The 17,384-nt window shown below is 41.1% G+C and overlaps 1 protein-coding gene across 3 annotated transcripts; it reads left to right on the plus strand.

The window, feature by feature from the left end:
- Positions 1–3,301: 3,301 nt before the first annotated feature.
- MAGEB16 (MAGE family member B16) lies at positions 3,302–8,732 on the plus strand. Of its 3 annotated transcripts, none has more exons than NM_001099921.2 (2): positions 3,302–3,514; positions 7,091–8,732. In NM_001099921.2, the coding sequence occupies exon 2, from the start codon at positions 7,157–7,159 to the stop codon at positions 8,129–8,131; it is 975 nt and encodes a 324-aa protein (NP_001093391.1). In that variant the 5' UTR covers positions 3,302–3,514; positions 7,091–7,156; the 3' UTR covers positions 8,132–8,732. The 3 variants fall into 3 exon arrangements, with proteins under 3 accessions (NP_001093391.1, NP_001357087.1, NP_001357088.1); NM_001370158.1 differs by having other exon boundaries at positions 3,302–3,378; NM_001370159.1 differs by lacking the exon at positions 3,302–3,514 and adding an exon at positions 3,714–3,812.
- Positions 8,733–17,384: the final 8,652 nt, after the last annotated feature.

Here is a 17,384-nt window from a genome sequence, read left to right on the forward strand (position 1 = left end):
TTTTAATAGAGACAGGGTTTTGCCATGTTGGCCAGGCTAATCTCAAACTCCTGACTTTGGGTGATCCGCATGCCTCAGCCTCCCAAAGTGCTGAGATTATAGGCATGAGCCACTGCACCTGGCCTTCCTCCCAATTTTAAAATAAAACTCTCAGTGTCTCTATATTGAGTATATTTACTATAGATGTTTTGTAAATATCCTTTACCTAATTTGATAACATATCATTTATCATAAACACTAATTTTTATAAACCAGTTTAAAAACTTTGATATAATTTAAATTTTTTTTTGTTAATGTGGTATTCTCTTCTGTTATGTAAGTATGAAAGCTTTCAGAGTAAAAAATTTAAAAGTATGTTTCTAACCCGCCAGGAATTGATTTTCGTGTTAAATGTGAAGGAGAGTTTCAGTCATATTTTGTTTTTAATATGGATATCAAATTGTTCCATTGTCATTTCTTAGTAAAAACACTGTTCTTTCCCCCATTTATTTGTAGTGGCATATTTTTAACAAATCAGGAGACCTTGTATAACAGGTATGTTTTGACACTCTCTATTCAGTTTCTTTGGTCTACGCGACTATGCCTGCATCTTTACTAAAAACTGTTATTTACTATATGTTTTAATAATCCTTAATATCATATCTTCTTTTTCTTTCTCAAGTGTATACTGTCTGTTCTTAGCCATTTGCAAGTCTATTTATATTTTAGAATCAGCTTGTGAAGTTTGACACACATATGCACATATACACAGTCATTCACGAACAACAACTACGTGACTTTATTGCAAGAAAAGGATTATACTCATCAGTAGAAAAAATTTGGGGAGAATTAACATGTTTACAATATTGAGTCTTCTATCTAAGATGGTATTATATTTCTCCAATTAGATCTTTAGAAATTTCTCTAAATAATAGCTGTATAACTCTTCCACAGAATTTTTTTTTTTTTATTTTTTTGAGATGGAGGTTCACTCTTGTTGCCCAGACTGGAGTGCAATGGCGTGATATTCGCTCAAAAGAACCTCCACCTCTCAGGTTCAAGCAATTCTCCTGCCTCAGCCTCCCGAGTAGCTGGGATTACAGGCATGCGCCACCATGCCCACCTAATTTTGTATTTTTTTTTAGTAGAGATGGGGTTTCTCCATGATGGTCAGGCTGGTCTCGAACTCCTGACCTCAGATGATCTTCCCACCTTGGCCTCCCAAAGTGCTGGGATTACAGGCATGAACCACTGCGCCCGGCCTCCATAGAATTTTTATACTTTACAAATTATATTTACTTTTAGGAACTGGGTATTTTGTTATTGTAACTTACAAGTTATATTTTATTTAATTTAATCTTCATGCTATCAATTGGTACAGAAAAAAGAGTATTTTTGCATATTAATATTATACCCAGGAACCTTTAAAAATACTTTTATTGCTTTAATAGTTTTTCTTTAGTAGATTTTCCTCATATACATTCTATTCATGTTTAATGACAGAAACACTGTTCCTTATTTTCCAATCCCAATCTCTTTGATTGCCTCTGTTTCCCATTACTTTATTATCTTCATTACAATAAAGAATAGAAATGGTGATAACAGGAATCTTTGCCTACTTCTCAATTTTAATGTAAAAGTTTTTAATATTTTTACATGAAGTATGATTTTTACTGTAGGGCTCTTTTGTAGATGTCCTTGATCTAGTTTAAGAAAATATATTTTTTATAATGAATGAGTGATGACTATTTTTATGAACGATTTTTTCTCTAAATTTGCATATAATTTTTGTCATTTAATCTGTTAAGTGGTATGCCAATACTGAACCTATTTGTCTCAGATCCATTCTTTACCCTTGCTCTGCTCTTTCTCTACTATACAGAGCCTCTCAATCCCTAGGCTCCCCCACATCTGAATGCCAACTGGGTTCTGCAACAGGAGGCAACAGTAGGAGATTAGAGTACACAGAAATCGGAGGGGTCAGCAATTTTCTCCTTCTTGCTCTAGTTACATGAAATATATATATAATATCATTTTATAAATATTAATTACAAAAAGCAGAAATTATTATATTCAATGATATTATACAAAATATAGGTGCAGAAGAGATTCAAATATAAAATAACTGTATACCATTATCTCAGAATAACCAACTGGTGGATAAGGAAAGGTTTGTACCTATAGTAGAATTTCAGTTAGTAAGCTAGGAATGAATAATAGAATGAGATAATTATCCTTGTATAGCCCCTAATATTATAGATAATGGATAAAAGTCATGATCTTCAGCACTGCCAATGTCACCAAAAAGGGAGACCTGTACACAGGCATTGGGTATACCCAATGAAAGTACAAAGAATAATCTTTGGAGTGGTTTTGCCAAAGAACAAATTCTTAATCTGAACAAGCTGCTACCATTAACTACTGATGACATGGGAAATGTCAAGTATATTGGGTTCATTGTACTATCATTTCTACTATTGCATATGTTTAAGAATTTGTATCATAAACCATTTTACTATAAATATTATGTCCTTCAAGTTGAAAACCCAAGTGAAATGAACTAATTTTTAGCAAAATCTAAAGGAATAAATAGGTTCATAAAACATACAGAAATATAGTCAAACAACACAAACTGAAACTGTAGTCAAAGATCAAGCCATCCTCAAACAGTTTGAAAACCAGTTAGGTTTGAAGGCCAGTTGCACTATCTATTCAGAGGAAAAAAATTAGTGTACGGGTCACGTCTGTAATCCCAGCACTTTATGAGGCCGAGGCGGCCAGATCACTAGGTCAGGAGTTCAAGACCAGCCTGACCAACATGGTGAAACCCCGTCTCTACTAAAAATACAAAAGTTAGACGGGCATGGTAGCGCACGCCTGTAATCCCAGCTACTCGGGAGGCTGAGGCAGGAGAATCACTTGAACCCGGGAGGCAGAGGTTGCAGTGAGCCAAGATCATGCCACTGCACTCCTGCCACGGTTACAGAGCGAGACTCCATCTCAAAAAAAAAAAAATAGTATCTTATGGAAACTCATCCAAAAGATCCAAAAAGATTTGAAATTATTCAAAATATTTTTACAAGTGAACATTTTTTGATAGAAAAACCAGATAAAGGTGGTCCAAGTAAAGGGGACTTGAACCAAGGCTATTCACAATTAGACAATATCCTAACTAAATTAACAGCATATTCAATATCGGAGTGAACAGGGCGCTTCACGCTTTCCACCCCGCCCCGCCCCGCCCCTTTTGTTGGTCCTGCGAGGCCTCCGTCTGGGGTAACTGGATGTGACGCCCCGGATTTCCTCTTCTGAGTCCGAGGACTGTGACGACCTTATCTGAGGAAGGTGCACCCTAGTCATCAGAGGAACGAGTCGCTGCAGGCACTGTCAGGTGTCGAGGTAAAACTCTGAGACTGAGGGAAATAGAGCGCCCTGCAGATAAGAGCCCCAGGCCCTGCAGTCAACTCTGGGAGGCCGTGGGCTGGACTTTCAGGCTGAACCCACCCCACATTTCTCCCTCGGGAATCTGATTAAGGTGAAGTCCTTATTTGGGCAAGGGTAAGAGTCCTTAGATTTGCCGAGAGTTAAAAAAGAAAAAAGCCCTTGAGTGAGTGCTGAGTCGATCACCAGAGATCACTCACAATAGAACATTGGCGGACACACTGAGTGAGGGCCGGCCTGTTTGTCAGCCCTGCAAGGCTTGGGGGCAAGGGCAGCCGGAAGTGTTGCTTACTGACTTCCGCCTGCGGAGTCTGAAGGAGGTGAAGCTTTAGTCTGATATAGGCAGTGTCGTGTCGGCAGAGGAAGGCATCTCAGGCCCTGCAGGAGTCCAGGTGAGGACCCTGAGTTTCTTTTGTTTTGTTTTTTTTGAGACGGAGTCTCTCTCTGTTGCCCAGGCTGGAGTGCAGTGGTGTGATCTCGGCTCACTGCAAGCTCCGCCTCCCGGGTTCACGCAGTTCTCCTGCCTCAGCTTCCTGAGTAGCTGGGACTACAGGTGCCCGCCACCATGCGCGGCTAATTTTTTTTTTTTTTTTTTGTATTTTTAGTAGAGACGGGGTTTCACCGTTTTAGCCAGGATGGTCTCGATCTCCTGACCTCGTGATCCACCTGCCTCGGCCTTCCAAAGTGCTGGGATTACAGGCATGAGCCACTGCGCCCGGCCTCTGAATGAGTTTTAAGGTTCTGCAGGCTCCACAAAAGAGGTTGTGCCACAGTGCCTAGGCCATGTTGTCATTTTTGGGTGTCCGTTCGTGAGGCGTTTGCTCATTTCCTTTGTGGGTATCTCATAGAGATGAAGTCTTGGTTGGAAGGGGGCAGCATCAGTTAGCCGACTGGAGGGAACACATTACCAACTAGTTTCCAATATGGGGACCCCGTGTGAGAATTATGGGATTAGCCAACTGATGACAGAGAAGGATCCAAGGAGCTTTTCCCCTCCCTGGGAGACTCACCCTAGGGGTGTCAAACTGAAGATACTGCTAATTTTCTCCTGGGGTCTTAGGGAAGTGAAGGTTTTGTCTGAGTATATTACATCAGGCCAGCAGAAGGAGTTCCAGGCCTTGGCAGGTTTCATTGAGTTCTGTCAGAAGGGAAAATACACTGCATAAAACTGTAGACCCACAAGTCACAGGGAATGTTTGGGAGACCCAAACAGAGATAGCCAGATGAGACATCCACACACTCCTCTATGGTGTTCAGTGAGAAGGAGGTCTTATTGTGAGGGAAAACTTAAGTCAGAAGGATAAGTCCCAGACCATGAAAAAGATCTGGGCCACATATTCTGGAACAGGGTGTTACCATGGGGCTGTTCTCTGTCCCTTTGGTCAGCCCTCGGAGACCCCTGATATGGGGGCCCACCAGTCAGACAACTTCATGTCATCCTTTTTGGTTTTGGGCAAGTGTAGGCCTTGGTTTGAGGGAGCTAAGTAAGGCCATCAGAGGGAAGATTCCCGGGTGCTTAAATGATTCAAAGTAAGGATGTGGACTTAGGACTGAGAGAAGAACCCACCCCAGAACATAGGTGGCCCCACAGTCTCCACCCATGGTGTCAGTCATAGGAGGCTGGATATCTAGATGAAGTGTCCCCTCACATCCTTGGTAGTCACTGAGGGGTGAATCTTTAGCATAAGGAGGGAACATCAGGCCAGCAGAGAGGAGGAGTCTCTCGCAGTGCCTGGAGCCAAATTGTAGACATTGAGTATAGATGAAGGGGACACCCATTCCAGTACATTTGGGATCTCCATGAGCTCCACTCTGCCTCTGAGTTCAGCCCTTGGAAGTCCAAGGCAGGAGTGGGAAGAATTTCCATACTGTCTTCATCTTCAGGGGTCTCAGGAAGTGAGTGTCATGGTCTGAATAGCAGCCTCAAGTCAATATAGGGGTAGGTGCATAAGGGGTACCGAGAGGTTAGGTGAAGACACAGACTTAAGACTGAGAGATGTCTAATCTCTTCCTTTACAGTTGCCACAGGGAGATGAGATTTTTCTTTTTTCGGCAGGAGTGGCATTAGCTATCAGAAGATGGGGACTGAAGCCCAACCAGTAGTCAAAGTAAGGACCCTGAGTGAGGTCTCAGGGAACCACCCATCCCAGATAATGAGGACAGAACGTAGCCCTGCTTAGCCCTGCTGTCGGTTGTGGGAGGCTCTGGGCAGGGCTGTCAGGATGAGATATCTACTTATTTCCTGTTCAGTGAACTCAGGATAACAAAGGTTTTGGTCTAAGGAAGTGATATCAGGTCCCAGATGCTTCCATTAGTCAAGGGAAGGACATTAAGTGAGGCCGATGGGAACACTCACCCCAGAAAAGAGTAATCGCCACAGAGCCCTGTCCTGCTTATTTCATACACTGGGGTCTTATGGAGGTGGTAGTCTTGAAATGAAGGCAAAGGTTCAGATAAGCATTGGATTGGGTGTCCAGGAAGTGCAAGGAGTTAACATAGAGACACAGAGTAAGGACCAATAGGAATCCACTCCAGGATATATGTCGCCAAAGAGCCCTGATAACTTTTTCAGCCAGGGAGCACTGGGCAGGGATCATGTGACAAGCACCCACTCCTCCTTTTTGAGGGTTTCTGTCATGTGAGGTTCTTGATTAGTGTACCTACATCATATCAGATCAGTAGACAAGGGAGGCCGGGGCCTGTGAAAAGTCACAGTAAGGACCCCAAGTAAGGTCCACAGAGGAAAAAGGACACAGGACACAAGGACAAAGAAAGCTTCACAGTGTACAGCCTTTGTTATTAACACTGTGAATCCCCAGTAATTGCAGATAGGTAGTGTCCTTTATCACTTCCTTCTCAGGTGACTCAGGAGGATGAGGTATTCTTGAAGGTGGAGAGTGGCATTAGTATACTGGTAAGTCACCATCACTAGCCAAGTCAAGGAGCCCGAATGAAAACTAAGGGCCACCCACCCCAGAAGAGCAGGGATTCTGAAGACTCAAGTACTGCACTGTTGTCAGCCCTGAGTGGGTATGGGTAAAGCTGTTAGGTGGAGGTGACACCTCACTACCTCCTCCAGGGTCTTGAGGAGGTGGAACCTTTTGTCTGAGGGGACAACATTAGGTTAACAGAAGGAAGGATCCCAGGACCAGCCTGGATTCAAAGTAAGGCACCTGAGTAATAACTGAGGGGACTACCCATACCATTACAGTGCCTCTCACAGAATCTAGGTCCTGCTATCAGCCCTGGTAAACTCCAGGTTGGGTAACTGGAGGAGGTACCTGACACTTCCTTTTGACTTTGGTCTTGGGGGCACAGCCCCACATTACCACAGGGGAAGTGGCACAGGCCCTATCAGGTGCCAAGTTACTGGCACTTCTGGCCATCAACTGATGACATTACCCTCCTCAGAACAAAAGGAGCTGTACTGAGCCCAACTACAAGTGTCTACTGTGAACCTGAAAAATTCTCACGTTGGGTTGGCTGGCTGCACCCTGAGAATTCTCACTTCATCCTTCAGGTTCTTGGTAGACCCAGAAAACACAATATCAGATCTGTGAGGCTCTATAACACTGCTGTCAGGAGAAGTCTATAGGCAGTGGCTTCCATCAGAGCTACCGCAGTTGAGTTTACCAGCTGAGGACATTTACACCCTTTCTCTCTCCCTTAGGCAGTGATTCTTCATTGCCTGCCCTCCTGTCCACACTCCTGCCTACTGCCACCCACAAGGGTCATCATGTCTCAGGATCAGGAGAGTCCACGATGCACACATGATCAGCACCTTCAGACCTTCAGTGAGACCCAGAGCCTGGAGGTTGCACAGGTCTCCAAGGCTCTGGAGAAGACCCTCCTCTCCTCCTCCCATCCTCTAGTGCCTGGCAAACTGAAGGAAGCTCCTGCTGCTAAGGCAGAGAGTCCTCTTGAGGTTCCTCAGAGTTTCTGCTCCTCTTCCATTGCCGTCACAACCACCTCATCAAGTGAATCTGATGAGGCTTCCAGCAATCAAGAAGAGGAAGATAGTCCAAGCTCCTCAGAGGATACATCAGACCCCAGGAATGTGCCCGCAGATGCTCTCGACCAGAAAGTGGCTTTTTTGGTGAATTTCATGCTGCACAAGTGTCAGATGAAAAAGCCAATAACAAAGGCAGATATGTTGAAGATTATCATCAAAGATGATGAGAGCCACTTCTCTGAGATCCTCCTGAGAGCTTCTGAGCACCTAGAGATGATATTTGGCCTTGATGTGGTGGAGGTGGACCCCACCACCCATTGCTATGGCCTCTTCATCAAACTGGGCCTCACCTATGATGGGATGCTGAGTGGTGAAAAGGGTGTGCCCAAGACTGGCCTCCTGATAATTGTCCTGGGTGTGATCTTCATGAAGGGCAACCGTGCCACTGAAGAGGAAGTCTGGGAAGTGCTGAATTTGACGGGAGTATATTCTGGGAAGAAGCACTTCATCTTTGGAGAGCCCAGAATGCTCATCACCAAAGATTTTGTGAAGGAGAAGTACCTGGAGTACCAGCAGGTGGCCAACAGTGATCCTGCACGATATGAATTCCTGTGGGGCCCAAGAGCCAAAGCTGAAACCAGCAAGATGAAAGTCCTGGAGTTTGTGGCCAAAGTTCATGGGTCTTACCCACATTCTTTCCCATCTCAGTATGCGGAAGCTCTGAAAGAGGAAGAAGAGAGAGCTAGAGCCAGAATTTGAGTCAGGGCTGACTCCATTTCCACAGCCACTGTGAGTTCCAGTGCTATGTCTGGTAGCTTCTCCCATACCTAGTGAAGACAAGGATAGATGTTTTATGTAACATTTGCAGAAGGCAGTTAGTGTTCAAGGATGCAGGTCCAGGGTGGGGCTGGAGGAAAAATAGTATATATCATCTATATCCCTATTTTGTATGTGTAACTTGACAGTTTATTCTTTTATTTTTTAATGGCTATATTATTCAGATGATGTTTCTTTTAATAGAAGTTTAGGTAGTTTCCAGATCTCTTAAGTTTTGAATAATATTGGTCATCCATTTAATGTTTTTCATGAGGTTTAGTGGCATATGTTTTGCTGATTTTGTAAAACAGATTGGGAAACCATCTATATTGTGTTCTGATATAGGATGACATGACATTACTAAGAACTCTGCTTTTAAATATCCGTTTAATGTTTTGCATGCAGTTTAGTAGCAAAGGTTTTGTTAATTTTGTAAAACAGATTAGAAAACCATCCATCTATATTGTGTTCTAGTATAGCATGACATGACATTGCTAAGAACTTTGCTTTAAAATATTTGGAATAAAAAATAGATAAAAGATGATCAATGTATTTCTTACTGAATACCTTTTAGTTTTTTGTTTTGTAAAATTAAATGATATATGCATTAATTTGCTTAACTTAGAAATATCCGAGAAATAGATCTCCATAAATTGCACAGGATCCTCACTATCTCTTTTATTCCCCAAACCTTAGTTAAGCATTTGCTCTTTAGTAATAATCAGAATAATACTGGAATGCTAGGATGAACAAAGCCTAGGACCTCTCCTTATAATTCTAACTTATAGGAACAGAAATCTTACAATGATGGTTGTGGGATATTTTCTGATATCTAAAGGACAAATAAAAGGAGTTAATAGGTAAGTTGGGGGGAATCCATATGAGACTGTCAAATATAGATTCCCTGAGGCAAAGAAATTTGGGGCTTTGAGAGATTAAAATTCTTTCAATGAGTATAATTTTTAATTTAATTCGGGTGTGGTGAAAGATGAGGCTGAGAGAGTGGTGATCAGGGATCAGACCTCAAGATGGCTTGTCTCAGAGTTGAGACCCAAAAGCCTGGTGTAGAAAACTCCTCATCACAGTTACCTTGGGATCATGGTTTAACCAGAGACAAATCACCCAGGGAAGGAATGGAAACTGTTCTGCTCTTATCCGTATGTCACTGAACATAGTTCATAATTAAGTCTTGTTACATGCATTGTCTCAAGGAGTTTCTGAGAGATACCAGTGACACTTTCTTGAGATGAAATACACAAAAGCCACTGGGTTGGTAGTCATTACCCTGGGTAAGAAGAACCAAGTACCACTCCACTTAAGGGATATTTAGAATAGGTTATCTTCAATATATTTTAATTACTTACTCTAAAGAATGTTTATATTTTTGGTGGGGGTGAAATAAATGAAAACACGGGTAGTTTGGATGGAGGCGAGGTGTTGGTCCTTGTTAACTGTTCTAGGAGTTGCATCAGCTAAAGAAGAAACTCTCGCCCTCATGATTGAAGGACATAACTTCCGAATGGAAAAAAATGGCTGAGATTTACTTTTCAAACAGCATTTGGTTGATGTGATATTTCATTTTCTATAGCACTTCTTGTTCTCCTCTGAGACATACTAGCTTGGAAAACATCACTAGTGGCAGGTAGGGTCAGTGATGAAAATAATCACGGTAATAACTGCCTTTCATTAAAGACCCAAGATATGCCAAGCATTGCGCCTGATGCTTTTCATACATTGCATTCTTTCCAACAGTTTTTTATCACATGCATTAACAAACTCACCCCTAGGATGAAGAATCTAAGATTCATAAAGCTTGGGCATGTGCTTGAGTTCACAGGTCTCATATATGACAGACCTGAGATTAAACCTGTGGTCTGAATTCTTCTAGAGCCTACTCTGTTCCACTTCTCCATCCTAATGGCCAGTCTTCTTTTTTCTTGATTCAGTTGTCTTTTCACTACTACACAGTGCATCTTGGGATAAAAAGGTCCTTCCATCTGAAGTACCAAAAGCAGGTGTAAAGAAGAAAGGTGAAAGTGATAACCAAATAAAATTTGAGGATTGTCTGTGGGCTTCATTTACATGGGATCCTGATGCCCTTAGCCCCAGGATTCCTTTAAAGTTACCTTTGCCCAGGGGCTGGCATTATCCAGCTCTAGCTCTTTCCTGCATTACCACACCCTTCCCCTGGGTTTTCTCTGATGTGCACTCTTGTCCAAATGGAACCCTGACCTGCTGACTAGCTGCTCACTGTGTCCTCTGAAGGCTGCACCCTGCTCCCAGTGGAACAAACCGTCCAGAATCACCTCCCTTCCCCCGACTTAGGGTATCCAAACTCCCAGGTAGGCCCATTCCTCACTTTAAAACCCCTCTGATAGCAATATCTTGTTCAATGCAAAAGGTCATTTTGACAGTGAAATTTAGACCTGTTCATCACCACTAAACATCTCCAACACATTGTCAAAATGATTTGCAAATGAGCTAGTGAATTATAATCTGATTTGGCAAAGCATCTACTAGTTTTGGGGCTATATCCCCAAGAAACAGGATTTTGAAAACCACCCTGATATTTGCAGTAGAATTTTAATGGGATTTCTTGTTTGACACAGTCTACTGGCCACATAAACCAGTGAGTGAGCTTACCTTAGTGCTTAAAAGCCAAAGCTTCTCCTGTAAGTAGCACATGAGAAAAGATCATCAAAGTAACTATGCAAACATCTGTAGTATATCAAGTCCTGAAAATTCTGGAGTCCTTCTAGACAGTAGAATATAATTTCTTGGTAGACATGATACCATTGGATAATATTAATTGATTAATTTGACTGGGCGCTGTGGCTTATGCCTGTAATCCCAGCACTTTGGGAGGCCGAGGCGGGTGGATCACGAGCTCAGGAGTTCAAGACCAGCCTGGCCAAGATGGCGAAACCCCGTCTCTACAAAGAATACAAAAATTAGCCGGATGTGATGGCAGGCGCCTGTAATCCCAGCTACTCGGGAGGCTGAGGCAGAGAATTGCTTGAATCCGGGAGGTGGAGGTTGCAGTGAGCCAAGATCGCACCACTGCACTCCAAAAAAGCGAGACTCCGTCTCAAAAAAAAAGAAAAAAATATTTAATTGATTAATTTTTAAAAATCTAGGTTTTCACTGTACATAACTGCACCTGTGCTGATGTTCAGGCATTTTTAGTCAGGTGATAGATAGCAGAGAATCCTAGGTCAAGGTTTTGTCAGTGCACCTGTGGGAAACCAAAATAGGCCACCCCAATATATATTTCTTTGACATATTTGGAGATGGCTAGTCAGAGGAGCTGTATAGCTCTGAAAATAGCTCTGAAAGGCTGTCCTTTCTTAGGGAAGATTTACACCTGTAGAAAAAAATCTACATTAGTAAGGCGAACGGGATGCTTGGCAGAGGCTTTCTCTGAGGCCCCCTTATCTGCCTAAGAAGTTTGTAAAAAAGATTCACTCACAGAAAAAGGAGGCTAAAGGTCTGATAACTTTTAAATCTCTTACAGAGAAACTTTTGCCACAGGATACATCTATTCTTTCTTAGGACTAGTACCTAGGACACTATCTGCCTAACAAGAAAGCCTTTGCTTGCCATGCTTCTCTTCAACCTTACATAATTTCAAGGAGCTTCAAGCCCCTACCCCTTTCTGTATGGTATAAAAACTTCAGTTACCTGGCCCTTCTTTGAATTTCATATTTTGTGTAACAGCAGTGCTCTTGCACCTTAATACATTTTTATGAGTTTTTCCTGTTAATCTGTTCATTGTCAGTTTATTTCAGCAGAATTAAAGACTCAAACCTTCAGAGGAGGAAGAATAAATTTCCTTCACCCTTACCTAAAGTAATGAGAAAATTCTCAGTATACTTTGATTATAGTGGTCACTGAAAATAACAGCGCAGAATGGTGCTTTTGAGTGAAATATGGTAAGCCCATACTGTAGATATTTACAGGGTCCTTTTGACAAATAATTGTGATGCTTGTTTGTTACATAGTAGGAGAATCACTTGAACCTTCTAGGCGGAGGTTGCAGTGAGCCAAGATCATGCCGCTTGTTAAAGGATACTAAATATGGTCTGAAAAGGACTCCATACTTCTATATTTGAGTCCTTGTGGATGAAGTGTAACCTAGCTTAATAGACAAAACTGAAAACCTAACTTAGTAGTATGCCCCTGTAACAAAAGCTGAGTGTTGGCTAATCCCAGCAGCCATACTTCAACCACTCATAGACTGCAGAATGTTCAAACTGCATTCAAATAAGCCAAATGCCGAGTTGTAACCAATCTCACTGTTTCTGTACCTTACTTCTGATTCCTATACGTCACTTTACCTTTTTGTCTATAAATTTGTTCTGACCATGAGGCATCCCTGGAGTCTCTGTGAATCTGCTGTGATTCTGCGGGCTGCCCAATTCGTGAATCATTCATTACTCAGTTAAACTCCTTTACATTTAATTCGACTGAAGTTTTTCTTTTATCACACTGCACTCCAGCCTGGGCAACAGAGCAACACTCTGTCTCAAAAAACAAAACAATTCTAACAATACAGATAAGTCACAATTTCTACCTGTATGATATTCCCTCATAATTCAGATCCATCCTCAGAGATAATCACAATAAATAGGGTATATCATTTTAAAGCTAATGCTAGGGTTTCTCATACATAGAGGTGCTATAAAAATATATTGTGATTATTAATCATAATGGCTAGTGAGGTGCATATTATTTTGCCATATTATTTTGCTACTTCATAACATGAATGCAGGATCTTTCTATGATAACACATTTAGATGTACTTCACCTGTGGAACTACCCAGTAGCATGTATGTGCCATGATTAATTTAGCCATCTCCTTCCAGTGTGCACATAATTAGTTTACTCATTTATTGCTATAACTTACAGAACTGAAATATTCTGAACATAAAATATTAAGCTAAAGCCTATTCTGATAGCAAAGTGGAAATTAGGTTAAAGTGGGTAGTGTGTGGAGATTTTAAATTTGTATAAATATTACAAAAATTTCATCCCCCAAATGTTTACCCATTCATATTCTCACAAAGCAATGCATGTAAATATTATAAATATACATATTTTATTTTATAAACCAAAATGCTTAATTTTAGTGCTTCTCAAATTAGATTCAATTAGAATGACCAGGTGATAGGGAATGGGGCCAGATGAGACACTCACACTTAGTATTGGATGAGGATCCAGGGGGAAATCAATTTTCAGGGTTCATGAAAGAGACCACATGAACCACATGAACCACATGAACATCAACAAAACCAAGTCTAGAGAGCCCAGAGCAGGATGGTAGTCACAATTCTGAATGCAGATGATGTGGTTTGGCTGTGTCCCCACCCAAATCTCACCCTAAATTGTAATAATCCCCAAGTGTCAAGGGCGGGGCCAGGTGGAGATAATTGAATCATGGGGGCAGTTTCCCCCATACTGTTCTTGTGGTAGTGACTAAGTCTCACAAGATCTGATGGTTTTATAAATGGGAATTCCCCTGCACAAGCTCTGCCGTCTGCCATGTAAGACGTGCCTTTGCTTCTCCTTTGCCTTCCACCATGATCATGATGCCTCCCCAGCCATGTGGAACTGTGAGTCCATTAAACCTCTTTCCTTTATAAATTACCCAGTCTTGGGTATGTCTTTATTAGCAGCATGAAAACGGACTAATACAGCAGAGTTTAGTGTAGGATGGAGAAAGGACTAGAAGAGAAGGTGGGGGATCTGGGTGGAGGGTCCAGGGCAACTCAAATGACTAGGTTTGGGGAATCTGAATCACCAGTAATAGCTAGATGTGGTATGGTTATGAGAGTGGACAGGTCTACTGGATGACAAAAAACAGAGGCATTGCAGACACCCATCATCCTTTAGAATGTCTCTGTCTACTGTCAGGCAAAGTATAGTTGTCTCTTCTGCAATATCCAGTAATGTTATTGGTCATTTCTAGGAAAGCTACATGTCTTGACTTCTCTGTTTGAACACTTGCCAGTTTTTCAGGACTTGGACCTGTCTTGATTCATGCTGAAAATGGATATTTCATCCTTTGTACAGTAGACCCTCTCCACTGTGATCAGAGATATGAAAATGGTAGTGAGTAATGAAAGACATTTGAGACACATCAAAAATACCAATGAGCAGTGGAAGGCAGTATCCAACTGCAAGGAGGAAATTAGAAAGGATTTACCCTAGTAGTAATGTTTTCAGTTTCTTTGTAGATACTGGGCTTGGTATGGACATGTCTCTTAAAACAATCCAGACAGAGTTAGACCCTGTGAAGACTGTACTCTTCCTTTCTGAACTGACTAGGGGAAAATGAGATGTGAGGGGCCCAATGAAGGAATCATCACACATATTACTCAGACAAAACTAGGGTCCACCTGCTGGGTCTCACAGTCCAGCAAAATGCAGACAGACTGGGAAATAAGAGAGTTTACTTCTGTAACCAGCCCCAGGGAGAAGGTTAGGGAAATTCACCAGACCAACTCAAAGTTACAAGTTTTTCTTCAGGATTTATATACATTTAAGCTATATGCCTACATGCGGGTGTGCATCTACAAGCAAGAGTGTTTTACTGAATCTATAGCTAATCTTTAACGAGGGTCTGGGGTCTGGTAAGTTTCTCTAGGGCCTTGGGAAAATTTCTTAATCTTAAGTGGACCCTGGTACCAGGTGTATGTGTAAGAATGCTTTTATCATTGGATCAGACGTTAGGGTCTGAAAAATCCCAGACAGGGTCTTAATGGGTTTGTTTTCACATTCCAGCCCTTGTACTCAGGCACCAGTTTCTCCAGTTCTTTAATGTTTAACTTATACATTCATCAGAGTTATAGTAAAGGGTTAGTGGAAACTGGCTTCTCTAGTTGCTAATGGAAACCTGGCCGGCCAAAATATCACCTTATTACAGGCATCTCTAACTCCAAGACACTGCTTGGGCCTGGGGAGGAGAGATCCATAATTATATTTTCAAGGAAAGTTTCCCAAGGGAATTCTCAAATTAGGTCAGCAGTTACAACTTAACACATTGAGTTTCTTTCTTGGATTCAGAAGAACTTGCCAAGTGGTAAGCTCCAAATTTTGAGTCTTTAAATGTGAGCCTGTGGTACTTTAATTCACTCATTCTTTCATTGATTCATCTAGCAAACAATGTCAAACATATGCTGAGGGTGCATCATGGACCATAAATGGGAATGTGTTGAAAGATGAAAATCACTATTTTCAAAATTCGATGAGAACTCCGGTAATTACCAAGGAAACTTACTGTGTTTTTGCTGAAGTCTGACTTTGACTTCTCTGAAGATTTGGGCATCACAGGCTGCTCAAATACTTACAGGTATCATTTATAAAAGGAGTAAGCTTTTTAAAATTAGTTAATTTATTTATATCTGATGTTCATTAAGATGCCAGATAATTTTAATTATCATTTATCTACAACATATTTGTTGCCACTTTCCAATTTTAGGAAAGAAATTTTGGAAATCATAGTAGAGTCCACATGAACTGTTATTGTTTGATACTCTTGGAGCTCTCATAACCAGCCCTGAGATCTTAAGGAAGCCACTAAGTCTTATTACATTTATGACAAAATGACCTTGAATATATCTATTCCACCAAACTTTAGTATTTCATGAAGCAGTAGTGACAGGTGGTTAGAAAAAAAAGCGAACTATTCTATAGAAGCATCCCAGCATTAAAGAAATACATAATTCAGTAAAAGAATAATGACAAGTAGACAAACCACAGTGTTATTAGGTAAAAGATGGCAAGGTATTCAAACAAAAGTTCGAGGGAGGAAGTGACATTTGAAATAGGCCTTGAAGTATGCTAAAATTTTGAAAAGGTTGTTTTTGGGGCAAGAGAAAAGTTATATTCCATCAGAAAAAGAAAGTGGTGTAAGGCAAGGAGATAGGTAAGCTAAGTGTTTTTCGGGAAAAAAGAAGTATGATTTGAGTCATCCATAAGAAAAGAGAAAGCAAGTAATGAGTGATAAGATTTAGGAGTGCTGGGGCCACATTATGAAGGGCTTGAATGCCAGGATGAGGGGTCTTATTTATAAACAAAGAATAACATGACAAGCATACCAATTCAGGCAGATCAGACAGTAGTATTTGGGGGAAGTACTTTTCCCAAGAAAGCTGTATTAAAAAGCAGAAAAAGTAATTATACTGATAAACAAGATAAATTAGAGATTGGGACTGAAATGCGTTTGAGCTGAAATACAAAAAGGCAGAGAAATAATAGTAGAGATAATAAATGGTCACAATATGTACTGGAGCCAAAAAAAGGGCTAGTATCAGAAAAGGGGGGTGTTCTTTCTATCAGTTTATACAGTGCCTAAGGTCTTCTAGAAAGGAAAGAGCTATATGCTCACTTTGGCATCACATAAACTAGAATTGAAATAAACAGACTAGAGGTAGTGGGGGAAAATTATTACCTGCAAAGTATTAACATTGCTGTGAGGCAGGAATACAGAGATGTATACATTGCCACCAATTCAGCCACCAACTCTGTCATTTTCAAAGTACAAGGAGTTCTCTGCACTCCATGAAATGAAGATCTACTATGTCTTAATGACACATAATCCACTTGCCAAAAAGAGTCCGGGTCTGACCTTGAAAACCCAAATAGTGTGAGAGCCAAGCAGACCAAAAGAAGTGTCATGTGGAAATAATACACTTGACTGTGATATTTGGCATCAATTAATGGAAAATAATGTTCTCTCTGATAATCTGCGGATCTACACTTCCTCATATACTCTTCTTCTGCAGAAGAAGAGAAGGGTATATTCATTCTTGTTTTATTAATAGGAAGTAAAGCTTACCAAAGGAAGAAGGAGGTTGTTAGCAAGAAAATAGGAAAGTGACCTGTTCTAATAGAGAGGAAAGCAGACTGGGTATGATTTGAAGAAAATGGGGACACACCTAATGCCAAAGTATCTTCTCAGTATTCTGTTATCTCACATTTATTCAATAGAGACAATATTAGACAACAGACATAGAGAGATTATTTCAGAAAAAATCAAATTTTTTTTTTTTTGAGATAAAGTTTCTCTCTGTTACCCAGGCTGGAATGCAGTGACGTAATCATGGCTCAGCTCACTGCAGCTTCAACCTCCTGGGCTCAGGTGATTCTCCCATCTCAGCTTCCCCAGTAGTTGGAACTATAGACACATGCCACC

Source organism: Homo sapiens, chromosome X, assembly GCF_000001405.40.
Source record: "Homo sapiens chromosome X, GRCh38.p14 Primary Assembly".
NCBI classification, from domain to species: Eukaryota; Metazoa; Chordata; class Mammalia; order Primates; family Hominidae; genus Homo; species Homo sapiens.

Bases quoted from the DNA above. Each gene is read 5' to 3' on its own strand.
- MAGEB16 (NM_001099921.2), top strand. From the start codon at position 7,157: ATGTCTCAGGATCAGGAGAGTCCACGATGCACACATGATCAGCACCTT.